Below are 22,544 nucleotides of genomic sequence, written 5' to 3'. Positions count from 1 at the left end.
TTGCTAAAAACTGTTAACGATCATCTTCATTGAACCATAATCGTTTTGTTGGTAAAGGGTCTTTACGTTGATGGCTGCTGACTGATTTAGGGAGGTGGTTGCTGAAAGCTGGGGTGGCGGTGGCAATTTCTTAAAATTAGACAACAATGACGTTTGCCACATTTATTGACTCTTCCTTTCATGAAAGATTTCTCTGTAGTATGCACCATTGTTTGAGAGCATTTTACCCATAGTAGAACTTTCAAAGTTAGAGTCAGTCCTCTCAAACCTGTCACTGCATCAATTAAGTTTATGTAATATTTCAAATCCTTTGTTGTCATTTTAACAGTGTTCACAGTATCTTCATCAGGAGTAGATTACATCTCATGAAACCACTGGTTTTTTTGTTTGTTTGTTTGTTTGTTTTGAGACGGAGTCTCGTTCTGTCACCCAGGCTGGAGTGCAGTGGCGCGATCTCGGCTCACTGCAACCTCCACCTCCCAGGTTCAAACAATTCTCCTGCCTCAGCCTCCTGAGTAGCTGGGACTACAGGTGCGCACCACCACGCTGGGCTAATTTTTTGTATTTTTAGTAGAGATGGGTTTCACAATGTTAGCTGTGTTAGCCAGGATGGCCTCTATCTCCGGACCTTGTGATTCCCCTGCCTCGGCCTCCCAAAGTGCTGAGATTACAAGCGTGAGCCACTGTGCCCGGCCATGAAACCACTTTCTTTGCTCCTCCATAGAGGCAACTCCTCATCTGCTGAAGTTTGATCATGAGATTGCAGCAATCAATTCAGTCACATTTTCAGGCTCCATTTCTAATTCTGGTTCTCTTGCTGTTTCCACCTCATCTGCAGTTCCTTCCTCCACCGAAGTCTTGAAACCCTCAAGTCATCCATGGGGGTTGGAATCAACTTCTTCCAAACTGATGTTCATGTTGATATTTTGACCTCTTCCCATGAATCAAATGTTCTTAATGACATCTACAATGGTGAATCCTTTCCAGGAGGTTTTCAATTTACTTTTCCCAGATCCATCAGAGGAATTACTTTCTGTGGCAATGATAGCCTTACAGAATGTATTTCTTAAATAAGAAGACTTGAAAATAAAAATTACTCCTTGATCCATGGGTTGCAGAATGGGTGTTGTGTTAGCAGGCGTGAAAACGACATGAATCTCCTTGTATATTTCCATCAGAGCTCTTAGATGAGTGACGAAGTGCATTGTCAATAAGCAGTAATATTTTGAAAGGAATCTTTTTCTGAGCAATTAAGTCTCAACAGTGGGCTTAAAGTATTTAGTAACCCAATGTGCTTTCATCCAGGCTTTGTTGTTCCATTTCTATAGCACTGGCAGAGTAGATTCAGCATAATTATTAGGGCTCTAGGATTTTTGGAATGGTAAATGAGCATTGGCTTCAACTAAAGTCACTAGCTGCATTTGCCCGTAACAAGAGAGTCAGCCTCTCCTTTGAAGCTTTGTAGTCAAGCATTGACTTCTCCTCTCTAGCTATGAAAGTCTTAAATGGCATTTTCTTCCAATAGAAGGCTGCTTTGCCTACGTTGAAAAATCTGTAGTCACCTTCATCAATGATCTTAGTTAAATTTTCTGGATAACCTGCTGCAGCTTCTACATCAGCATTTGGAGAAGATTTCTTTCCTTAAATCTCACGAACCAACTTCTGCTAGCTTCAAACTTTTCTTCTCCAAGTTCCTCACCTCTCTCAGCCTTCATAGAAGTGAAGAGAGTTAGGGCCTTGATCTGGATTAGGCTTTGGCTTAAGGGAATGTATGGCTGGTTTGCTTTTCTATTCAGACCACTCTAACTTTGTCCATATCAGCAACAAGGCTGTTTCACTTTCTTACCATTGATGAGTTCACTGGAGTAGCACTTTTAATTTTCTTCAAGAACTTTTCCTTAGCATTCACAGCTTGGCTAACCCTTCAGTCACAAGAAGCCTGGCTTTTGACATATGTCAGCTTTCAACATGCCTTCCTCGCTAAGCTTAATCATTTCTAGTTTTCTTATTTAAATTGAGAGGTATGTGACTCACTCTTCCTTTCACTTGAATGCTTAGCGGCTATTTTAGGGTTATTAATTGGCCTAATTTCAATATTCTTTTTTTTTTTTCTTTTTTGAGACAGAGTCTCGCTCTGTCACCCAGGCTTGAGTGCAGTGGCACGATCTCTGCTTACTGCAAGCTCCGCCTCCCGGGTTCACGCCATTCTCCTGCCTCAGCCTCCCGAATAGCTGAGACTACAGGCACCCGCCACTACGTCCGGCTAACTTTTTGTATTTTTAGTAGAGATTGAGTTTCACCATGTTAGCCAGGATGGTCTTGATCTCCTGAACTCGTGATCTGCCCACCTTGGCCTCCCAAAGTGCTGGGATTACAGGCGTGAGCCCCCGTGCCTGGCCAACTTCAATATTCTTGTGTCTGAGGAAACAAGGAGGCCCGAGAGGAGGGAGAGAGAACAGCCAGTCTTTGTAGCAGTCAGAACACACATGACATTTACTGATTAAGTTCATTACCTTATATGGGGTGTGTGGTTCATGGTGAACAAAACAATTATAATAGTAACGTCAAAGAGCACTGATCTCAGATCACCATAACAGATATAACAGCGCAAAAGTTTGAAATACTGTATTACCGAAATGTGGCAGAGGCTCAACATGAGCACATGCTGTTGGAGAGGTGATGCTGGTGGAGTTGCTTGACACGGGGTTGCCACAGAACTTCAATTTGAAAAAAAAATGCAGTATCTGCAAAGGACAACAAAGTGAAATGCAATAAAATGAGATGCGCCTGTTGCATCTTTCAACTGATGTGTCCTTTCTTTTCATTAAAAAAAAATAACGTTCTGTCCATCTGCCTCTGTCCAACAACAGGCAGTCACATGTGATGCCTACTGTTGGAGAATTGGTGAATCATAGGCCTCCACTTCTGGTGCTATTACTCAGAGAAGAAGTATTTCTTTCTGCATAGAAGGAAACATTGTAATTTTACTGCAGCAATGAAATTGTAGTAGAGGTGAACATAATTCTTCTATTTACATCTTTAATGAGCCACAATTAAAAGTAGTGAGTTGGCATGTCAGAGTGAATGTGTTATTTTCAGATTTCTGTTAGAACAATGGCTGCTGCTGGTTGAAGCTGCACTTCCCTGGCCCCTTGGAGCTCCAAAAGCCTTAAGAAAGAAACCCAGGGGCCGGGCGCAATGGCTCAGGCCTGTAATCCCAGCACCTTGGGAAGCTGAGGCAGGCGAATCACCTGAGGTTGGGAGTTCAAGAACCAGCCTGACCAACATGGAGAAACCCCATCTCTACTAAAAATACAAAATTAGCCGGGTGTGGTGGGGCATGCCTGTAATCCCAGCTACTTAGGCGGCTGAGGCAGGAGAATCGCTTGAACCTAGGAGGTGGAGGTTGCGGTGAGCCTGTGTCTGGAGTTGGTTCCTTCCGATAGGTTTGTGGTCTTGCTGACTTCAAGAATGGAGCCACGGACCTTCACAGTGAGTGTTACAGCTCTTAAAGATGGTAGGGACCCAAAGAGCGAGCAGTAGCAAGATTTATTGTGAGGAGCGAAAGAACAAACCTTCCACAGCGTGGAAGGGGACCCGAGCGGGTTGTCTCTGCTGGCTGGCGTGGCCAGCTTTTATTCCCTTATTTGTCCCTGCCCATGTCCTGCTGATTGGTCCATTCTACAGAGCACTGATTGGTCCATTTTACAGAGTGCTGATTGGTCCATTTTACAAACCTCAAGCTAGCTACAGAGCGCTGATTGGTGTGTTTTTACAGAGCACTCATTGGTGCATTTTACAATCCCCTTGTAAGACAGAAAAGTTCTCCAAGTCCCCACTCGACCCAAGAAGTCCAGCTGGCTTCACCTCTCAATACCACTTCTGCATTTAATTATAGCCACCGACTAGCTGCACTATGATATTAATCTGGGCTACTTGCTTAGGAACCTGCAGATGGGTTTCCATAAGCTAGACATTGCTGCCTGATAAATGACTGTGGGATACAGGTTTTCCTGATGAGGTAGTAAAGCCACATATTGGAATTCATTTAACAGCTCGACAACATAATTTGTAAACATTTCTATTTAGTCACGTGTACTCAGCAAAAATGTATACTAAAGTGTTTACCATATACTTGGCATTGAAGGGAATTATAATGAAATATGTTGATCTTGGTCATTTATAGGTGTTCCCACCACTGTGATGTGTGCATGCATTGTGGGCCAGGAGGTTTTATCTGGAAGCTAGTGACACTTCAGCGTCAAGGCGTCTCGCTCCTGCAGGCCCTTTGTAAGACCCTGTACCTAATTTTATGTTGATAATTTTGTGCAGTTTTTTTTTTTTTTTTTTTTTTTGAGGCAGCGTCTAGCTCTGTCATCCAGGCTGGATTGCAGTGTTGTGATCTTGGCTCACTGCAGCCTCAACCTCCCAGGCTCAAGTGATCCTCCCACCTGAGCCTTCTGAGTAGCTGTGAGCAGATACATATGCCACCATGCTCAGCTAATTTTTGTATTTTTTTGTAGAGATGGGGGTCTCACTATGTTGCCCAGTTTTGTCTTGAACTCCTGGGCTCAAGCGATCCTCCACTTCAGCCTCCCAAAGTTCTGGGATTACAGGCGTGAGTGACCATGGCTGGCCTTTGAGATCTTTTCTTAAAGACCCTAACACCCCATACACACTCCTCTACCCCTTGACTAGTTTTATAAACTGCAGACCTCACAGACTGGATCCACCCCTGATTATGAATATGTTTAAACTGTGCATATGTATGCATTAATTAAAACATATTTATTTCTCTTTCATACTAGTATGTGAAATTCCAAAAAATCTGCTAGCCCACAAATTAGGAAAATTAAAGGGCTATGCCTACCTCTGCCAGCTGTTTCCAAGGAAATTTATATCTTGGACATTTGGCAGATAATAATATCATGTTTGACTGATAGTGATCATGTCCTAAATTTCCCAAACTGATGAGTCACAATCGTGATTCACATATTTCTGGGAATCGCCCCCCAACAACTTGCGATTTGCCTGGCGTAGCTGTAGTATATCAGAGTTTTTTAGGTGTTTAGCAGAACTGAACTATATAGCTTCTTGTCCCATGCCAATTCAAGAAAATTAATTTAATAGCTATTTTATGAAACATTTTTTCCTAACTCGACATGGATATTTTAAGGTGATTTTCCCTGCTAAGAATTCACTTGTTATAGGTGACTCTAATTGGAGAAACAGCTGTTGACTTCTAGTGTGCTCAATTAGTTTCTTTCTTCCTTTTTCTTTTTTTATTTTATTTTATTTATTTTTTATTATACTTTAAGTTCTAGGGTACATGTGCACAATGTGCAGGTTTGTTACATATGTATACATGTATCATGTTGGTGTGCTGCACCCATTAACTCATCATTTACATTAGGTATATCTCCTAAAGCTTTCCCTCCCCCCTCCCCCCACTCCATGACAGGCCCCGGTGTGCGATGTTCCCCTTCCTGTGACCAAGTGTTCTCATTGTTCAATTCCCACCTATGAGTGAGAACATGCGGTGTTTGGTTTTTTGTCCTTGCGATAATTTGCTGAGAATGATGGTTTCCAGCTTCATCCATGTCCCAACAAAGGACATGAACTCATCCTTTTTTATGGCTACATAGTATTCCATGGTGTATATGTGCCACATTTTCTTAATCCAGTCTATCATTGATGGACATTTGGGTTGGTTCCAAGTCTTTGCTATTGTGAATAGTGCCGCAATAAACATACGTGCGCATGTGCCTTTATAGCAGCATGATTTATAATCCTTTGGGTATATCCCCAGTAATGGGATGGCTGGGTCAAATGGTATTTCTAGTTCTAGATCCTTGAGGAATCGCCACACTGTCTTCCACAATGGTTGAACTAGTTTGCAGGCCCACCAACAGTGTAAAAGTGTTCCTATTTCTCCACTTTCTTCCTTTTTCAAAGAGTTCCTTTATTATTCCCAGGCCGTCGTTAGGTGTAAAAGCTAATTTAGTTTAGATTATTTTTTAAAGTGCACCTGGCATTCAAGCTATGACATTTCCTGTTGAAACAGCACTGCTATGACCTGGGAAGAAAAGATCCCAAGAAAATATAACTGAGGAATCAAATATTTGTCTGTATAAAAGGTTTCATATTAATTCATGATACCATTTATTAGTCACTTACCTTTTATGTTAGTAGCCATAAGGAGGTGTGATGGCATAGACTATTCAGGGCGAATGACAGTTGTCATGGGCAGAAGGTGCCCATGCATCAGGCAGAGCAGGGTGACCACAAAGTGGGGAGTGGCCAAATATACTTTGTCCTACTCAAGACATGAGGGCCTGTCCCAGTGGCTTGCTTGAGAACAAAGCTCATCCTGATGACTCAGCAGCCACAGTGAAGGGCTGCCTGGGGGCTGGGGGAGAAACAAGTAGGCAGATGAGGTCCAGTTGGAAACTAAATTGCTTTGGGAGGAGGAGAGTGGTCACACAATGTAGGTTTCAGTTCCGGCTGCACTGCTAATTTTGTAACCTTGGGAAAGTTACCAACCTCTCTGGAATCTCAGTTTCCTCCCCTATGAAGAAGAAAGCAGTAGCCCAGATCATCCTTGGAGGTTCCTTCCCTTCAGCTGTGACATTTTGCATTTGAAAGAGTAAGAGAAGTCACAGGACCATGGGAAAGGAAAACAGAAATGATGTAAGGGAGGCAGGTCATGGGGAGGGTGGTCAGGAACACAGGTTGGAAGTGCCCGTGGTGTCAATTCAGGTGTTCGGTGATCTCCACGGGCGAGTGACTTTTATTGGGAGAACTGTGCACTGCCTGAGGTTAGGGTTGTGCTCTGGGGAAACCGGAACCTTGAAAACACCTTGTAGGGAGCCGCGTTTCCCTTGCACGGACTGTGCTGCCTGTGCTTCCCCAGCACAGTGGGCGTCGTCGCTTTGTGTTTGTGCTGGCTGCTGTGCGGGGTTGCCTGCCTCCCCAGCCCACACCTGCTCAGCCTTCCTCCACTCATGTTTTCAGGATGCTTTTGGATGCTTCTGGCTACAGTGGATTTTCCTTCTCCTTCTGAAGCCCTTTTGAAATTATTTCTCTGCAGATTCAGACATATTTATTTATCTGGTCAATGTCCTGCCTAAAGAATCAGATAACGACTGTGTTTTTGCCTGAACTCACACATATGAATGAGCTTTTGTAAGCGGCAGCAGCAGTGTAGGTTTAGTTGGAGCTGTCTGAGCCCTTGTCAGGTTGCTACTTAGTTGTTTAGTTAGCTCTCGTTGAACTTCTGTCACATCCTCAGTTTCTGGGCAGTGTGTAAGAAGAGCTCCTTCTCTCTAGACCAGTGGTCCCTAACCTTTTTGGCACCAGGGACTGGTTTCATGGAAGACAGTTTTTCCACAGACTAGGGTGGAGCGGGGGATGGTTTTGGGATGATTCAAATGCATTTATATTCATTGTGCACTTTATTTATATTATTATGTTGTAATATATAATGAAATAATTATGCAACTCACCATAATGTAGAATCAGTGAGATCCTTGAGCTTGTTTTCCTGCAACAAAACGGTCCCATCTAGGGGTGATGGGAGACAGTGACAGATCATCAGGCATTAGATTCTCATAAAGAGGGTGCAACCTACATCCCTCACATGTGCAGTTCACAATAGGGTTCACGCTCCTATGAGAATCTCATGCCGTTGCTGACCTGACAGGAGGCAGAGCTCAGGTGGTAATTTGAACAATGGGGAGTGGCTGTAAATACAGATGAAGCTTTGCTCATTCGCCTACTGCTCACCTCCTGTTGTGCAGGAGGTCTGTAGCCCAGGGGTTGGGAACCCCTGCTCTAGAGCTTAATAATCAACTGGTGGAGACCAGTGCAATTGTAAACAAAAGTGACAAAACGATAGTAATAATGCCAATGGTAATGAAAGCTACAGACATTTTCAGAGTGCTGTGTCTCCAAGTACTGAGCTGAGCACTCTGCACTCATGAAATATGTATCCTCCTCACACACACACACGCAAAATAAATGTTTAATGGAATATTGATCAGGAAAAAAACAACCAGTAAGCAAAGTATTAATACATGCTACAACATAGATGAACCTCAAAACATCATGTGAATTGAGAGACCACATACTTCAATTTCATTTATATGAAAGGTCCAGAATAGACAAATCCATAGAGACAGAAGTTAGTTTGGGGGTTGCAGAGGCCGGAGGTGGGAGAGGAATGCAGAGTGACTGCTAATGTACACAGGGTTTCTTTTTTGGAGAAGAAAATCTAAAATTAGATTGTGATGTTGGTTTTACAAAACAGTGACTATACTAAAAAACATTTGAGTTATACACTTGAGTTATATGTAAATTAAATCTTAATAAAGCTGTTTTTTTAAAAATAAATGTTTAATTCTCAGAAACAACCCTATGAGGTAGGGAGTATTATCCTCCTACAGATGAGAAAACCGAGGCCCAGAAAAGAGGAGAACCTGCTCAAGATTACATATAAGGCATATGTAGGATTAACTTTTTCATTACAGAGAAATCCATGGTAGTGCTTGCTAAGTAAATGCTAAATCTATTGATTGCATGGATGCCAGAACTAGATGGGGTTAGTTTAGATGGATTAAGGGAGGAAGTGGTTTAAACTGTGTTTTCTAAGAAGAAAGAGTAGTGATTGTATAAAGAAGACAAAAGGGCATTTCAAGCTGGAGATAATTGCTTGTGAGAGTTAAACATCAAGAAACCAGACATCTAATAGGTTTGTTCAACTGGAGTGAAGAATAGCCTTTCATATGACAGGTAGGTAATCAGAAGCAAGTGAATTTAGAGTTATATTGTTAGCTGTAGTGCGGGCTTGCTGTAATTAGTAGCAGGCCGACACCTTGTAACATCTCTCTGGAGTGTAAAGACATATTTCTAACAGAAATGTGTTAGTCTGCAAAGCAAATAAGGTGCAAGCGTAAATGTCCTTTTTCCTTGGACTGTCTTTACCGAATGACATGAGCTTCACACCCTTGCCTTGAGCTGTCACTATCATTGCTTCACTTTCTATTAATTAGCTCGGAGCCTTGGTTCTATAGTCAACTTGAAACTGCTCTGGACATATTTGCTCTAATCCTCCTGGACAACCTGTGAGATGTGCCTTTTCCTACACTTCTGCCTTGCCCTGGCAGCCACATGACACACTCTCGCAAGGCAGGAACCTCAGGGAGGGGAGGTGGCGGTGTCTGTTGGCAAGTACTCAGCTCCCTTTGAGGCTGCAGATAGTAGGCATTGGTTAAGAGTTTAAACTTGGGCAAGAACTGGAAGCAAATTGGGAGGACCTGGAATTGTGGGTGCTTGGGGAAAAACATTACAATGAGGACTCATATGGGTCGTGTGGTCATGTTTGTTTCAAGGGCTTTCCCTTCCAAAACTGGAAAAGAAAACTGATAAAACAAACATTGGGTGGCATTTTTTTCTAGGCTTGTCAATGGGTGACTTGTTTGCCGAATTAATTAAATAATTAATTAATTACCTTGTTTATAATCTTCCTTGTTTTGAAAAGATTTATGGCAGTGCCTTAAATCTGTAAATCTACCCAACAAGAGAATCTTATGAAGTAAACAAGTTAACAGGTGAAACATGCCTCCTTTTAAATGTTTCTTTATAACAAAATGACCATATATCAATAACAGACTGTAACAATGCGTAGCAAATGTATTTATGTTTCTCATCTATTTTCCACTTTCAAAAATGTGCTTTTCCCTTAAACTCCAAATTGTCTTAACAATTTCACATTTTCATTTCTTTCTTTTCTTTTTTTTTTTTTTGAGGCGGAGTTTTGCTCTTGTTGCCCAGGCTAGAGAGCAATGACGTGATCTTGGCTCACTGCAACCTCCACCTCCCAGGTTCAAGCGATTCTCCTGTCTCAGCCTCCCAAGTAGCTGGGATTACAGGCGCATGCCACCACACCCGGCTAATTTTTTTGTGTTATTAGTAGCGACGAGGTCTCGAACTCCAGACCTCAGGTGATCCATTCACCTCTGCCTCCTAAAGTGCTGGGACTACAGATGTGAGCCTGGCCCAATTTCACATTTTCTAGGTTCTGTAGAGGTTCATGTTTGTGGCATGGTAATTCTTGTTTTTTGCATTTTTTTTTTCTTAACCCCCCTCCTGGCTTTTGGAGCACTATAAACTTAGCACTGGTGGGGCCACATCTTGACAGCGAGACCCTTACAGCCCCCAACCCCGCATCCCAGTGGGGCTTCATGATCTGGCCCTGCTGTGCTGGTGGCATGGCCCCCTCGGGGCTTAAGTGATTCTGGGTCATTGACAAGAATCTTGCCTGTGTGAATTCAAATCAAAACTTTGGAGAGCAAAGATTCAGTGTTTTCCTTCTGCCTAACAATCTCATGGAAAGCACAGTGGTACCTAGCATTTAGCTCATGTGTTCATTTAGCAGGCTCTAAGTCATCTTGTCACATGTCATCCTCATGTCAGCTCTGTGTGGTGTTGTCGACCCACGAGCAAACGTTGCAAGGTCCCCTTTAGGGTGACAAGGCTGATTCAGGATGTGTCTCACTGCCCCAGGAAGGATGCCTCTAACATGCGGAACATGGTGCCAGTGGCTGAGGGGATTAGTTGGGGAAGAAGAGTGAATAGGGAAAGGAGGTTGTTACATGATCCACCCCTCACTGGCCAGAGAGGAAAAGGAAGGCATCTCATTAAGAGCATTAGCTGTAGCCTCTCATTTAAACCTCCTCACTACCCCATGAAGTAAGCATTATTGCTTTTGTTTTACAGGTGGTGTGAGACAAAAGTGAAGGAATGAGACTAATTAATAATAAGAATCCATGCCCCACCATAGCTACGATGCAGTGGAGCATGGATTCTAAACCAGCTCTAACATCACATGCCCTATTTTCGAGCACTAGTGGCTTATTTCTGAGCTCTTCTCTTCCTCTTTCCTGTTGATGCTTGAGTTTTAGTTATATCATGGCAAATTGAAAAATTCTTCAAAAAACATACAGAGGAAATAAAGTGGTGGGATCTGAAACAAAACTCTTATTGATTAGCCATTCTAATGAAGATTTGTGGCTGAGATGGGAGTTTTGCAATCACCTTGGGATTTCAGAACCCTGCTTTTAATAATTAGAACTAAAGAAGGGAGAGTCCTATAGAAGTGTGGGTCATAAAACCAAGGATGTGAATGAGGAGTGGCAAGACAGGTATCCTGGAGACTTTATTTCAGTGAGACTTCTGGGGCAGAGTTGGGACTGATGGGGGACAAGTCAGCTTTGGAATGATACAGAATTTTTGGCTGTGACACCTGTGTGATTTTAGTGCTTTGCACCATATCAAGAGCTGAGCAGAGTGTGGCACCAATATTCAAGGGACTCAAGGGGCAAATATAGGTGTCAGTGAGTGAAAGCAGATAGCGAGATTTGCAATGCAGTGTCCAGGAGTGTCCATCTTTCTAGACCCATTTCTACTTATAAGATCACTGCATACCCTGTGAAACATTATATTCATGAAGCCACAGAGTTTGAGCCACTGTGTTTACGCTGCAAGTGGAAGGAGAGTGGGCATGGAGTCAGAAAGACTCAAGTTCAAATCCAGCCTCCATAATTTATCGTCTTTAAGACCCTGGGAAAGTTGACCTAAGCCTCTGTTTTCTCAGCTTTAAAACATGAATAATAATCCTGCCTCACAGGACTGCTGCACATACGGCAGTCAGCGCAGTGCCAGGCACACACGAGTGTCTTATTAGTTATTATTATTATCAACAAAGAGCATAGGTGATCCTTCTTATCATGATTATAAAAACTGTGGCTTACCAATGAAAGGGTCCTTCATAAGCCAACAAAGAGACATCCCTGAAATTTTCACTATAGCAGAAATGCAAATTATTACTGGGTACATTTCTGGCAGACACATGAGCCATTTACATAATGAAACCTCTCTAATATTATTTCTATTAATAGCAATACTTCTGAGTATCAATCTGACCATTTTGTATTTAGAATCATTCTCTCTGTGAACAGATTCCTTTTATTGCCATGTCGTCTTAATATCTTCTGACAAGTATCATTATCTCTTTGCTGCATATTCTAATGTTTATGATTGCATGAGTTTTAAAGTGTTCATTTACTACCTGAGAACCTCCATTTTAATAATGCATTGCTTTAATGTTGGTGTTTGGGAGGTAAGGTTGTTGCTTATTTTCTCAGATGCCGATTCACAGTTGAGCAGATGATGACTTGCAGGAGGCTCTCTTGACCTGTCATGCTCTGATATCATCAATGCATTGGAGTGGTCACTTCTGTTAGCTTTTCCTCCATGAATCCCCTGTTGATCAGCCCACTAAGTGACTCAGCATATGTCTGTGCACACCTTTGGACCACATTATCATCCACTCACTTAGGCCCTTGAATTTTTTTATGGGTATGTGGGCTATATTGCTAAGTGATAAGGCTGGTTCTGTAAATGGACCTCGCAACTTCAGCATAACAACGGTATGGCTAGTGTCCTCCTCTAGGAGGGACTCCCCTTGAGGGCAGATACAGGTTTTTCCTGTTTGCCTCAAGAGAGTCATACAATGCAGAAGTGCCCAAGTGAATGTTGGGTGAATCAGTGAGTGTAAGAGGGCACCCAAGGGAATGCCCACAGTTGGAAGGAAGTTGCCTGAGAGGAGGAGTCCTCAGACCCATTCTAGCTTTGTGATTCTGCCCGTACAGACATGATTTATATGACAGGAAAAACATGGCAGGCCCTTGGGAAGCATTTTCATCTTAACCTTTATAATATCTAATAAATGGGCAAGATGTTAAAAAAAATTGCCCTTTCCAGAAGAAGGTTATACAGACTCTAAGAAGGCAACATTAAGAAATTTTTGAATTTTTTTTTTTTTGAGATGGAGTTTTGCTTTTGTTGCCCAGGCTGGAGTGCAGTGGTGTGATCTCGGCTCACTGCAACCTCTGCCTCCTGGGTTCAAGCGATTCTCCTGCCTCAGCCTCCCAAGTAGCTGGGATTACAGGCGCACACCACCACGTCCAGCTAGTTTTTTGTATTTTTAGTAGAGACAGGGTTTCATCATGTTGGCCAGGATGGTCTCGAACTCCTGACCTCAGGGGATCCACCCACTTCAGCCTCCCAAAGTGCAGGGATTACAGGCATGAGCCACCTTGCCTGGCCGAAATATATATATTTTTAAAAAGGTTATTTTCATCCCAGCACTTTGAAAGGCCAAGGTGGGCAGATCACAAAGTCAGGAGTTAGAGACCAGCCTTGCAAACATGGTGAAACCCCATCTCTACTAAAAAATACAAAAACAATTAGCTGGGCTGGTGGCGAGTGCCTGTAATCCCAGCTACGCGGGAGGCTGAGGCAGGAGAATTGCTTGAACCTGGGAGGCGAAGGTTGCAGTGAGCCGAGATTGCACCACTATGCTCCAGCCTGGGTGACAGAGCATGACTCTGCCTCAGGGGGAGGCGGGGAGAAGGTTACTTTCAACCCCATGAAAAAGTGAGCAAAGGACATGAACAGACACTTTTCAAAAGAAGACATATGGCCAATAAGAATATGAAAAGCAGCTCAATATCGCTGGTCATTAGAGCAACGCAAATCAAAAGCACAATGAGATACTATCTCATACCAGTCAGAATGGCTGTTGTTAAAAAGTCAAAAAATAACCAGTTGGATGCTGATGAGGTTGCGGAGAAAGGGAACACTTATACACTGTTGGTGAGTGTACAAATTAGTTCAGCCATTGTGGAAGGCAGTGTGGCAATTCTGCAAAGAGCTAAAAGCAGAACTACCATTCGACCCAGCAATCCCATTACTGGGTATCTACCCAGAGGAATATAAATCATTCTACCATAAATTTAGACACATGCACGCAAATGTTCATTGCAGCACTATTCACAGTAGCAAAGACACAGAATCAACCTAAATGCCCATCAATGACAGATTGGACAAAAAAAATGTGGTACATATTACCATGGAATACTATGCAGCCATAAAAAAGGAATGAGATCATGTCTTTTGCAGGAGTATGGAAGGAGCTGGAGGCCATTATCCTTAGCAAACTATCACAGGAACAAAAAACTAAATACTGCATGTTCTCACTTACAAGTGGGAGCTAAATGATGAGAACTCATGGACACAAAGAAGGGAACAGCAGACACTGGGTCCTACTTGAGGGTAGAGGGTGGAGGAGGAAGAGGAGCAGAAAAAACAATTATTGGGTACTAGGCTTAGTATCTGGGTGACGAAACCATCTGTACAACAAACCCCCATGGCATGAGTTTATCTATTTAATAAACCTGCACATGTACCCCTGAACCTAAAATAAAAGCTTAAGAAATAGGTTATTTTAAAGACTATCCTAATGCATTTGTTTGTGTGTGAAATATGGTTTTGCTAATTAGTATTCTTTATTGCCAGTAAAAGTAACTCACTAGAGGGAGCTTCTAAGAAACGGGGATTTTGATGAGGGCACGTGGATATCCCATGGATTTTAGGGACGGGCACGGCTGGGCCTTGGGGAAACAAAACAAAACAAACAAATAAACCAAAAATCAAAACCAAAAATTCACATTGAATTTGGAGTTTGGGTCATATTGTATGAACAGGACTGCTTCCACCTGCATTAATAGGCAAATTCCAGAATACTGGGTGCTGAATGAACAGTCCAGTATGGATCTGTACGGAGGCTGTACCAAGGATTGGTGTCTGTTTATTTTTATTTGTGCTGCTATTGAAGATTTTCTAATCATTAGTGCTAATATTGCAGGAGAAAATAATTAATGAAGGTGTCTACTGTTCTATTGTAGTAATTTCTGTTTGCAGGGCTCATTAACATCTTTGATCAGAATGAGCAGCTCTTTTCTGGTTGGAATAGATGAAAATTATACAATGTATGGAGCCATTCTTCACCTTGTCCTTGTTTCTTCTTCATGTTGCTTCGACTTATTGCTCACAAGTTGACCTCCCCCTTAGAGCTGGGGTGGTCCAGCAGGGCTGCGTTGTGATGTGTATTCCTTTTGTGATAGGAGACTTGCTGAGAGAGGATCCTGTTTTTTTGTTTGTTTGTTTGCTTTGAGATGGAGTCTTGCTCTGCCACCCAGGCTGGAGTGCAGTGGCATGATCTCAGCTCACTGCAGCCTCTGCCTCCCAGGTTCAAGCGATTCTCCTGCCTCAGCCTCCCGAGTAGCTAGTATGACAGGCGTGAGCCACCACACCCGGCTAATGTTTGTATTTTTAGTAGAGATGGGATTTCACCATGTTGGCCAGGCAGGTCTCAAACTCCTGACCTCGTGACCCGCCCACCTCGGCCTCCCAAAGTGCTGGGATTACAAGTGTGAGCCACCGCGCCTGGCCGAGGACCCTGTCTTTAATGGGATGTTGGGTGATATGTATGAAATGGTTCAAGAAGCAGATGGGAAGTGTTTGGGAGGCCTACTGCCAGTGGCTCAGTGTAGCCAGGGAAAAACAGACACACCTCTGTGCCATCTCTCACATCTTAGAAGGTAACATTGAGTTTGCTGCATAGAACCATACAGTTCTAGGTCACCTGAAACTCAGAGCTCATGTGATCTAAACTTCTATATTTAAAGGAGGAAAGAGACTCAGAGAAGTAAAAATGGCTTGACCAAGAAGTCAGACTGGAACCAGAAGTGGACATATGGACTCCTCATTCCTGTTCCAGTACCGTTGCTGCCAGTTCACATTGTCTTTCTAAAATAGCCATTTATAGGGCCACAGCTCCATCTCAAACAAGGGCTTAGTATCTGTCAGTTTGCGAGGTCTACCATAACAAAGTAACCCAGACTGAGTGGCTTAAACAGCACAAACTTATTTTCTTATGATTCTAGAGACAGTAAGTTTGAAATGAAAGTGTCAGGAAAGTTGGTTCCTTCTGAAGTCCTTCTCCTTGGCTTGCAGATGGCCATCTTCCCCCTGTGTCCTCTCGTGGGCTTCCCTCCAAGTCTGTGTCCCAGTCTCCTGTTACAAGGACACCAGTCATAGTGGAATAGGGCCCTTTCATATGACCTTATTTTGTTTTAATTACCTCTCAAAAGGTCCAATTTCCAAATACAGTTATATTCTGAGAAACTGGAAGTTAGGGCTTCAACACATGAATTTTGAGTGGTTGTGGGGGGAAAAAATTCAGCCAGTAACAGTATCCATAAGTTAACTTGATTCATTAGTTGATTAAGTATGATTAAACCAGCTGGGCGCAGTGGCTCATGCCTGTAATCTCAGTACTTTGGGAGGCCGAGGTGGGTGGGCACATCATCTGAGGTCAGGAGTTCGTGAACAGCCTGGCCAACATGGTGAAACCCCGTCTCTACTAAAAAAACAAAAATTAGCTGGGCATGGTGGTGCGTGCCTGTAATCCCAGCTGCTTGGGAGGCTGAGGCAGGAGAATCACTTGAACCTGGGAGGCAGAGAGGTTGCAGTGAGCTAAGATCACATGCACCACTGCACTCCAGCCTGGGCAACAGAGGAAGACCCTGACTCAAAAACAAGAAATAAAGTAAATAAATAAATATTATTAAACTAGATTATATTGGTTACCAAGTCTTTACATGACCATTTTAATAGCCTTTTCAGATGTTAACTTTGCAATAATATGCAGCCAGCTAATTGAAAATTCTAGTGCCATAAATGTTTTTAATTGCTTACTATGTGTCAGGCGTTGTACTAGGCACTGGGGAAAACTGTAAATAAAAGAGACCCAGTTCCTTCCTTTTTTTCAGGTTGCAGTCTATCAGGAAAGGCAGACATTTAAAAAGGGTCTTGTGAGGACTGTTATGAAACAGGAAGTACGAGTGCCATTTCTATACCTTAGTACAATCACTCGTTTTAATTCACATCTTCCATGGTGGCAAGTTTGCCTCAGTGTCAGCCGGTCAATTGCCACTCAAGGGGATCAGAACATTTATGTATCTGGAATGCTTGGTACCTAGAGTTCTGAAGATCACTATTCTCATTCCAAATATGTTTTTTCATTGCCAGAATGCTCACTCAGTGACTGGATTAGTTATGTGTACTCTGCATTTTTCGAAGAGGGGAAAGCTGCTATTTTTATCATCTAGTAGCATTCTGATGACTCCTTGATAACATGGTTACTATACGGAACCCCATCTGTTTCTCTGCTGGGACCACATCTTAGTCATATTTTTGTCCCTAATGTCTGGCATCGTGCCTGGCATTTAGTAGGTCTTCAGTAAATATTTGCTGAATAAATGTATGCTGATTGAAAAATTGCCTGCTATTATCAGCTCTCTGTGCATGATAAATGCCTTGCCTCTCCAAAGCGATTGTAAGCTTCTGAGCAGGAACACCATGGTCACACATGGTCTGTCTAACTCAGCGCCTTGTAAATAATAGGAATGCCATCCCTAAATCCCTAGCCCCCTCCAGGATGGCCTGTCTTCCTTGCATCTGGGACTGTTGAAGATTCTTAATGATGGAAAAATCATATACAGGTTATTGCATAGACATACATTAAAAAATGTAGTTCGTTCAGTGTATCCCTAGTGGGCCTATGGCCATAAATTAACTTGCTCCCAGGGTAGGTAGTACTCTCTTCTTCACTTCTGCTGTAATCACAGCTGCCTTCATTATAGAATCATAGAGAAGTGAATTAAGGTGAACTTTGAAAGAAGGAAGAGATGCAGCTCACTTGATCGATGTGGGAGTGGGAGTGGGAAGATTTTTCTAGGCATAAGGATGGCATCAAAGAGGCTTGGCTGTTTTTCCATTCCCAGTAATCGTTGACAGTTTTTTATTTAACATTTAAAAAAGTGTCCTCCGAACCTTAGGCTGTTCAAAAACAAGTATTTCATGGTAGAGATTACGTCAAATGATAAGCGATGCATTCTGCGATCAGTGGCAGAAACAAAGGTTGAAGCTGCAGTTTGATGAGAATTTAAACATACAGAAGTCAAAAAATTCAGGAGTTGAAGTTAAACTGCAAGTGTGACTCAGTCCCCTCGGGCATATGGTAGTAGCATTTTCTGAATTGTGGCATATTCAGTTAAATTTAAGCCCTTGTTTTTGCAGAGTCGTTGTGTCAAGGTTGCAATGTGAGCAGTAACTTTAGACTTTCACAATTTTTTATATTCTCACCCACAGTATGTGCTGTTATAGCATTTGTGCACTGAAATTTGGTATAGCTTATAAAAATAAAAAAATGGTGCAATGCTCAATCTATGGTGCAGAATGTATATGATTATGAAGGAATAACCCTTCTGTTTGCTTGAACCCGACCTAATACTGAAACAAAACACCGCCACTTTTGCTTTTAAGTAAATAAATAAACCATACATTGTGGCAAAAGGCATACACTATAAAATTGACCGTCTTCACCATCAAGTGTACATTCAGTGGTATTAACTGAATTCACATTGTTGTACAACTGTCACCACCATCCATCTCCAGAACTCTTTTTTTTTTTTTTTTTTCTTGAGACAAAGTCTCGCTCTCATCCCCCAGGCTGGAGTGTGATGGTGTGATCTCAGTTCACTGCAACCTCTGCTTCCTGGGTTCAAGTGATCCTCCTGCCCCAGCCTCCCAAGTAGCTGGGATTACAGGAACCTGCCACGACGCCTGGCTAATTTCTGTATTTTTAGTAGAGACAGGGTTTCACCATGTTGGCCAGGTTGGTCTCAAACTCCTGACCTCAGGTGATCTGCCCACCTCGGCCTCCCAAAGTGCTGGGATTACAGGTGCGAGCCACCACGCCCAACCCAGAACTCTTTTTATTTTGCAAAATTGAAATTCTACCCATTAAATAGCAACTCTTCTTTTCCCTTCTCCCCCAAGCCCTTGGCAACTGCTTTTCCATTTCTATGACAATGTCTACTCTAGATACCTCATAGAGGGTGAATCATACAGTATTTGTCCTTTTATGACTGGCTTATTTCACTTAGCTGCTATATTATTAATACCAGCTTTCTGGGGATATAATTCACAAACTGCAGAATTGAATGGTTTTTAGTCTATTCACATCGGATATGTTTTTGAAGAGACAGTAAAACCAATCCTTTTTTCCTTAGTTCTCAGACACACACATGCTTCTTATCTGGCAAGTCCCGTTATAAAAATGCCATGAACTAAATGGGAACAGAAGATTGGGGGAAATATCTAGATTATTCTTAGTTTGGTTCAGATTAATTGAGATAGCCAGAATATTTTTGTAAGCATGTTTGCTTTAATTTAAATGTCTTCATTTTGCTTCCTGGAGCCAGCAATATGTGATTACTTATTGTTGTTCTTATGGGGTATTGTTTGCTTGCGTAGTTGATTGTGATGAGTTGGCTAGAAATTTAACAGAATGGAAATTTCTTCAAGTCTGGATTTGTTCAAAGAACAGTTTGAAATTGACCAAAGCGATAGATGGAACTGACACTTGACTTATTTGAGATCTGGAGTTCCCAGTAATGAATATTTTGGTCCAAGTTTGAAAAATGGCATTTCATGTTTATGTACTGCTGATAGGAATATTCATTGGTACAACCATTTAGAAAGACAGTTAGGTATTATCCAGTTAACAAAAACAAATGTGTATACCCTGTGACTCAGCAATTTTCCTTCTAGGTGTTTCCTAGAGACTTCTGTACTGTATACCACGAGACATGGAGGCTCTCCAGCACAGCTTTATTTGTGTTAATAATGGTTTAAAAAAATAAACCCAAACTACTTGAATGTTTATTAAAGTGAAATAAACAAATTATGATATGATCAAATGACAGAACACAATACAACAATGAAAGTGAATGATCTAAAACTATATAGGAGCAATATAGATACATTTCAGTAACCTGATATGAAGCCAAAAAAGTTACGTTGCAGAAAAATTCAAAATATGAATGATTATTTTTGTAAAATTTCAAAAGTATGCATCATTAAACAAGTAAAGTGGAATTTCACCCTGAGACAGTTAAAAAAAAAAGGCTAGAAGCTTAGAAAGACATGGATTAGAACTCGTTTTTCTCTGTTCTGAGAGTACATGTGGAAATGAAAGCTACCAGCTATTTCTGCCATTTTAAATGCTCATATGAAATTTCTAAGTACCCTGCATAGTAAGTCTTTAAAATATCACATACACACTACTGGCAGGCTAAAAACCAACAGAAAGATGGCTGGGTAAAAAGAAATCATGCATGCAGAACACTCTTACTTTTAAAAATTTACATTCCTGAAATAGAATTTTTGGAGAGAAGCTTTTCTTGAATGATGTTAGATTGAAGGATATAACTAAAAATAGAACTGCAGTCTTTAATAAATGAAAATTAGTCAAGATTCTAATTAGTACTTCCTGTGTTCGATACTAATTTTGTCAGTTCATTTCTTTACTTAATGTGGGCTGTACCTATTCGCACATCCCTTGTACTCTTTGCTTGTTTGGTTATCGTTATGAGACCACCACCAACCACCACCACCACCACCATGGTCATCATCATCATCACCATCTCCTAGAGCACATGGTTTTATGAGCCCTGAGCTAAGCTCCTTACCGTTTAATGCAAACATGTTCCTCCCTCAGGGTCTTTGCATTACTCTAAAATAACACCCTCATCAGTTTTTATCCCCTTCACCGGTTTAATTTTTCCTTATTGCACTTACACATACTTGTTTGTCTTTCTCATTTCACTAAAATTTGAGAGTGATGTTAAGTCTGTGGAAGCAGAGCCCATGCTTACATCTGTCACTTGTGTATTTCCAGTGTTTAAAACTGGGCCTGTCACACCTAGAAGCTCACTGATCATAATCAGTGATCATCAAGTGAATGAATGCCTGAATTAGCCCAACAACTCTTTGAGGTAGTTATTGCTGTTACTATTCTACAGATTTTTAAAAATGGTGGCACTCAGATAGATTAAACTACTCGCCCACATTTACCCAGCTTGTGGGTGGTGGAGGCTAGAATTCAAAGCCAGTGTGCCTGACACCAAAGCCTGTTGTCTTAACTACTCCACTTTTCTGCCTATCATCTGCTGCTAGTTCTCAGTGACTTTTTATTTATTTATTTTTGCATAGAGCATCTTTTCTTCTTTTCGGGCTATCAACTCATCATTTGTTTAATTCTTTGTTTTTTGTTTTTGAGATGGAATCTCGCTCTGTCTCCCAGGCTGGAGTGCAGTGGCACGATCTTGGCTCACTGCAACCTCCATTGCCTCCCGGGTTCAAGCCTCAGCCTCCCTAGTAGCTGGGATTACAGGTGTGCACCACCACACCCAGCTAATTTTTGTATTTTTAGTAGAGACGGCATTCTCCATGTTGGCCAGGGTGGTCTTGAACTCCTGACCTCAGGTGATCCACCTGCCTTGGCCTCCCAAAGTGTTGGGATTACAGGCATGAGCCGCCGGGCCTGGCCTTGTTTAATTCTCTGTATGCACCTTTTTGATAAATAGTTGTGTCTCCTTTTAGGGCTATTTCTGTTTTGCATATACAAAGACTTTACTCATATTTCAGGTTCAGCCAATTTCAGCCTCTTGCAGCTAACGCCCTTGCCGTGTTTAGTGCTATTGTCTGGGCTCTGAGACTGAAGCAGGTCTGTGAGAGCAGCCGACAAGGTGTCAAGAAGGAAGGATGCAATAACCCACTGAGCTGCGTTATCTCCTAAATGCATGTGTCTTTATGCCATTGCTAATGGCATCTAATGACCTTGGGCTCCGAACAGGTGCTGCCTTGTAATCTGCGCTCATTTGTCTCTTTCTACACTGCTAGATTTACTGAAATAACATGAACAGGGAAAGCAAATGCTTTCATGGATGCCAGGAATGCTTTATTTATCTTTTAATTTTCTTTCATTTGTTTCGGGATGTAGAAGCCCACTTTGGAGTTGAAATAAAACAACTAATGTTCAGAGCTGAGGTTGTCACCCTTTTTAGTAGGACCTCAGATCTAGAAAGGGCCCCAGAGAGTTCTCCTTTGCTTATAGAGGAGAGTGTAGTCCTGTGGGACCACATGTGGTGCTGGCCAGCGGAGTAGGTGGGGGTCCTAGAACTTATGCAGCCTGACTCCCTTTCTGGGGCTCCTTCTGAAACCCAGTGGCATCCTCCTTGGCACTTTGCACACCCAGCTGTAAATACACCTGTGCCATGGAGGGCTAAAGCCTTTTGGGGGGGCATATATGGGCCAACTGATGATCAACAACCTCTGTTTTCTTAGATCATCTAGCTTCTTTATATAACGTACCTCTTCGACTTGGGTTGACCAAACTCAGATGATCTCCTTAAAGATGCATATTAAAGATTGCCCCAATTTCTTAGGATCCTAGGATATGAGAATCTTCATCTCTCTCTCTCTGTCTGTGTGTGTATGTGTGTGTGAGAGAGAGAGAGACAGAGAAATTTGTCCTAAGGAAACAACCAGAGATGTTGAAAAAAGATATATATGTTCAAGAAGTCCAGCACAGCATCACTAAACGATAGCACAATATCTGGAGAATTGAATGCTAGATAAATAGATTATGGTTGGAAATTATAGTTATGTTAAATATTCACATATTCTGTGTGTGTGTGTGTGTGTGTGTGTGTGTGTGTGTGTGTTTGAGA

The 22,544-nt window shown here is 42.0% G+C and overlaps 1 protein-coding gene across 3 annotated transcripts in view, besides 1 other annotated feature; it reads left to right on the top strand.

Annotated features, from left to right (window-relative positions):
* ATXN1 (ataxin 1) overlaps positions 1–22,544 on the top strand; it is a 462,349-nt gene that overhangs the window by 118,660 nt on the left and 321,145 nt on the right. The window lies entirely within an intron of this gene.
* Positions 6,424–6,593: an enhancer, noted in NCBI's record as "active region_24112". NCBI's record gives its function as "activates an Ori minimal core promoter by ATAC-STARR-seq in GM12878 lymphoblastoid cells {active_cell/tissue: GM12878}" and the evidence as "EXISTENCE:reporter gene assay evidence [ECO:0000049][PMID:35858748]".

This window comes from Homo sapiens, chromosome 6 (assembly GCF_000001405.40).
Source record: "Homo sapiens chromosome 6, GRCh38.p14 Primary Assembly".
Classification (NCBI taxonomy): Eukaryota; Metazoa; Chordata; class Mammalia; order Primates; family Hominidae; genus Homo; species Homo sapiens.
The sequence above is the reverse complement of the archived record's forward strand: the minus strand, read 5'-3'. Positions and strand labels throughout refer to the sequence as shown.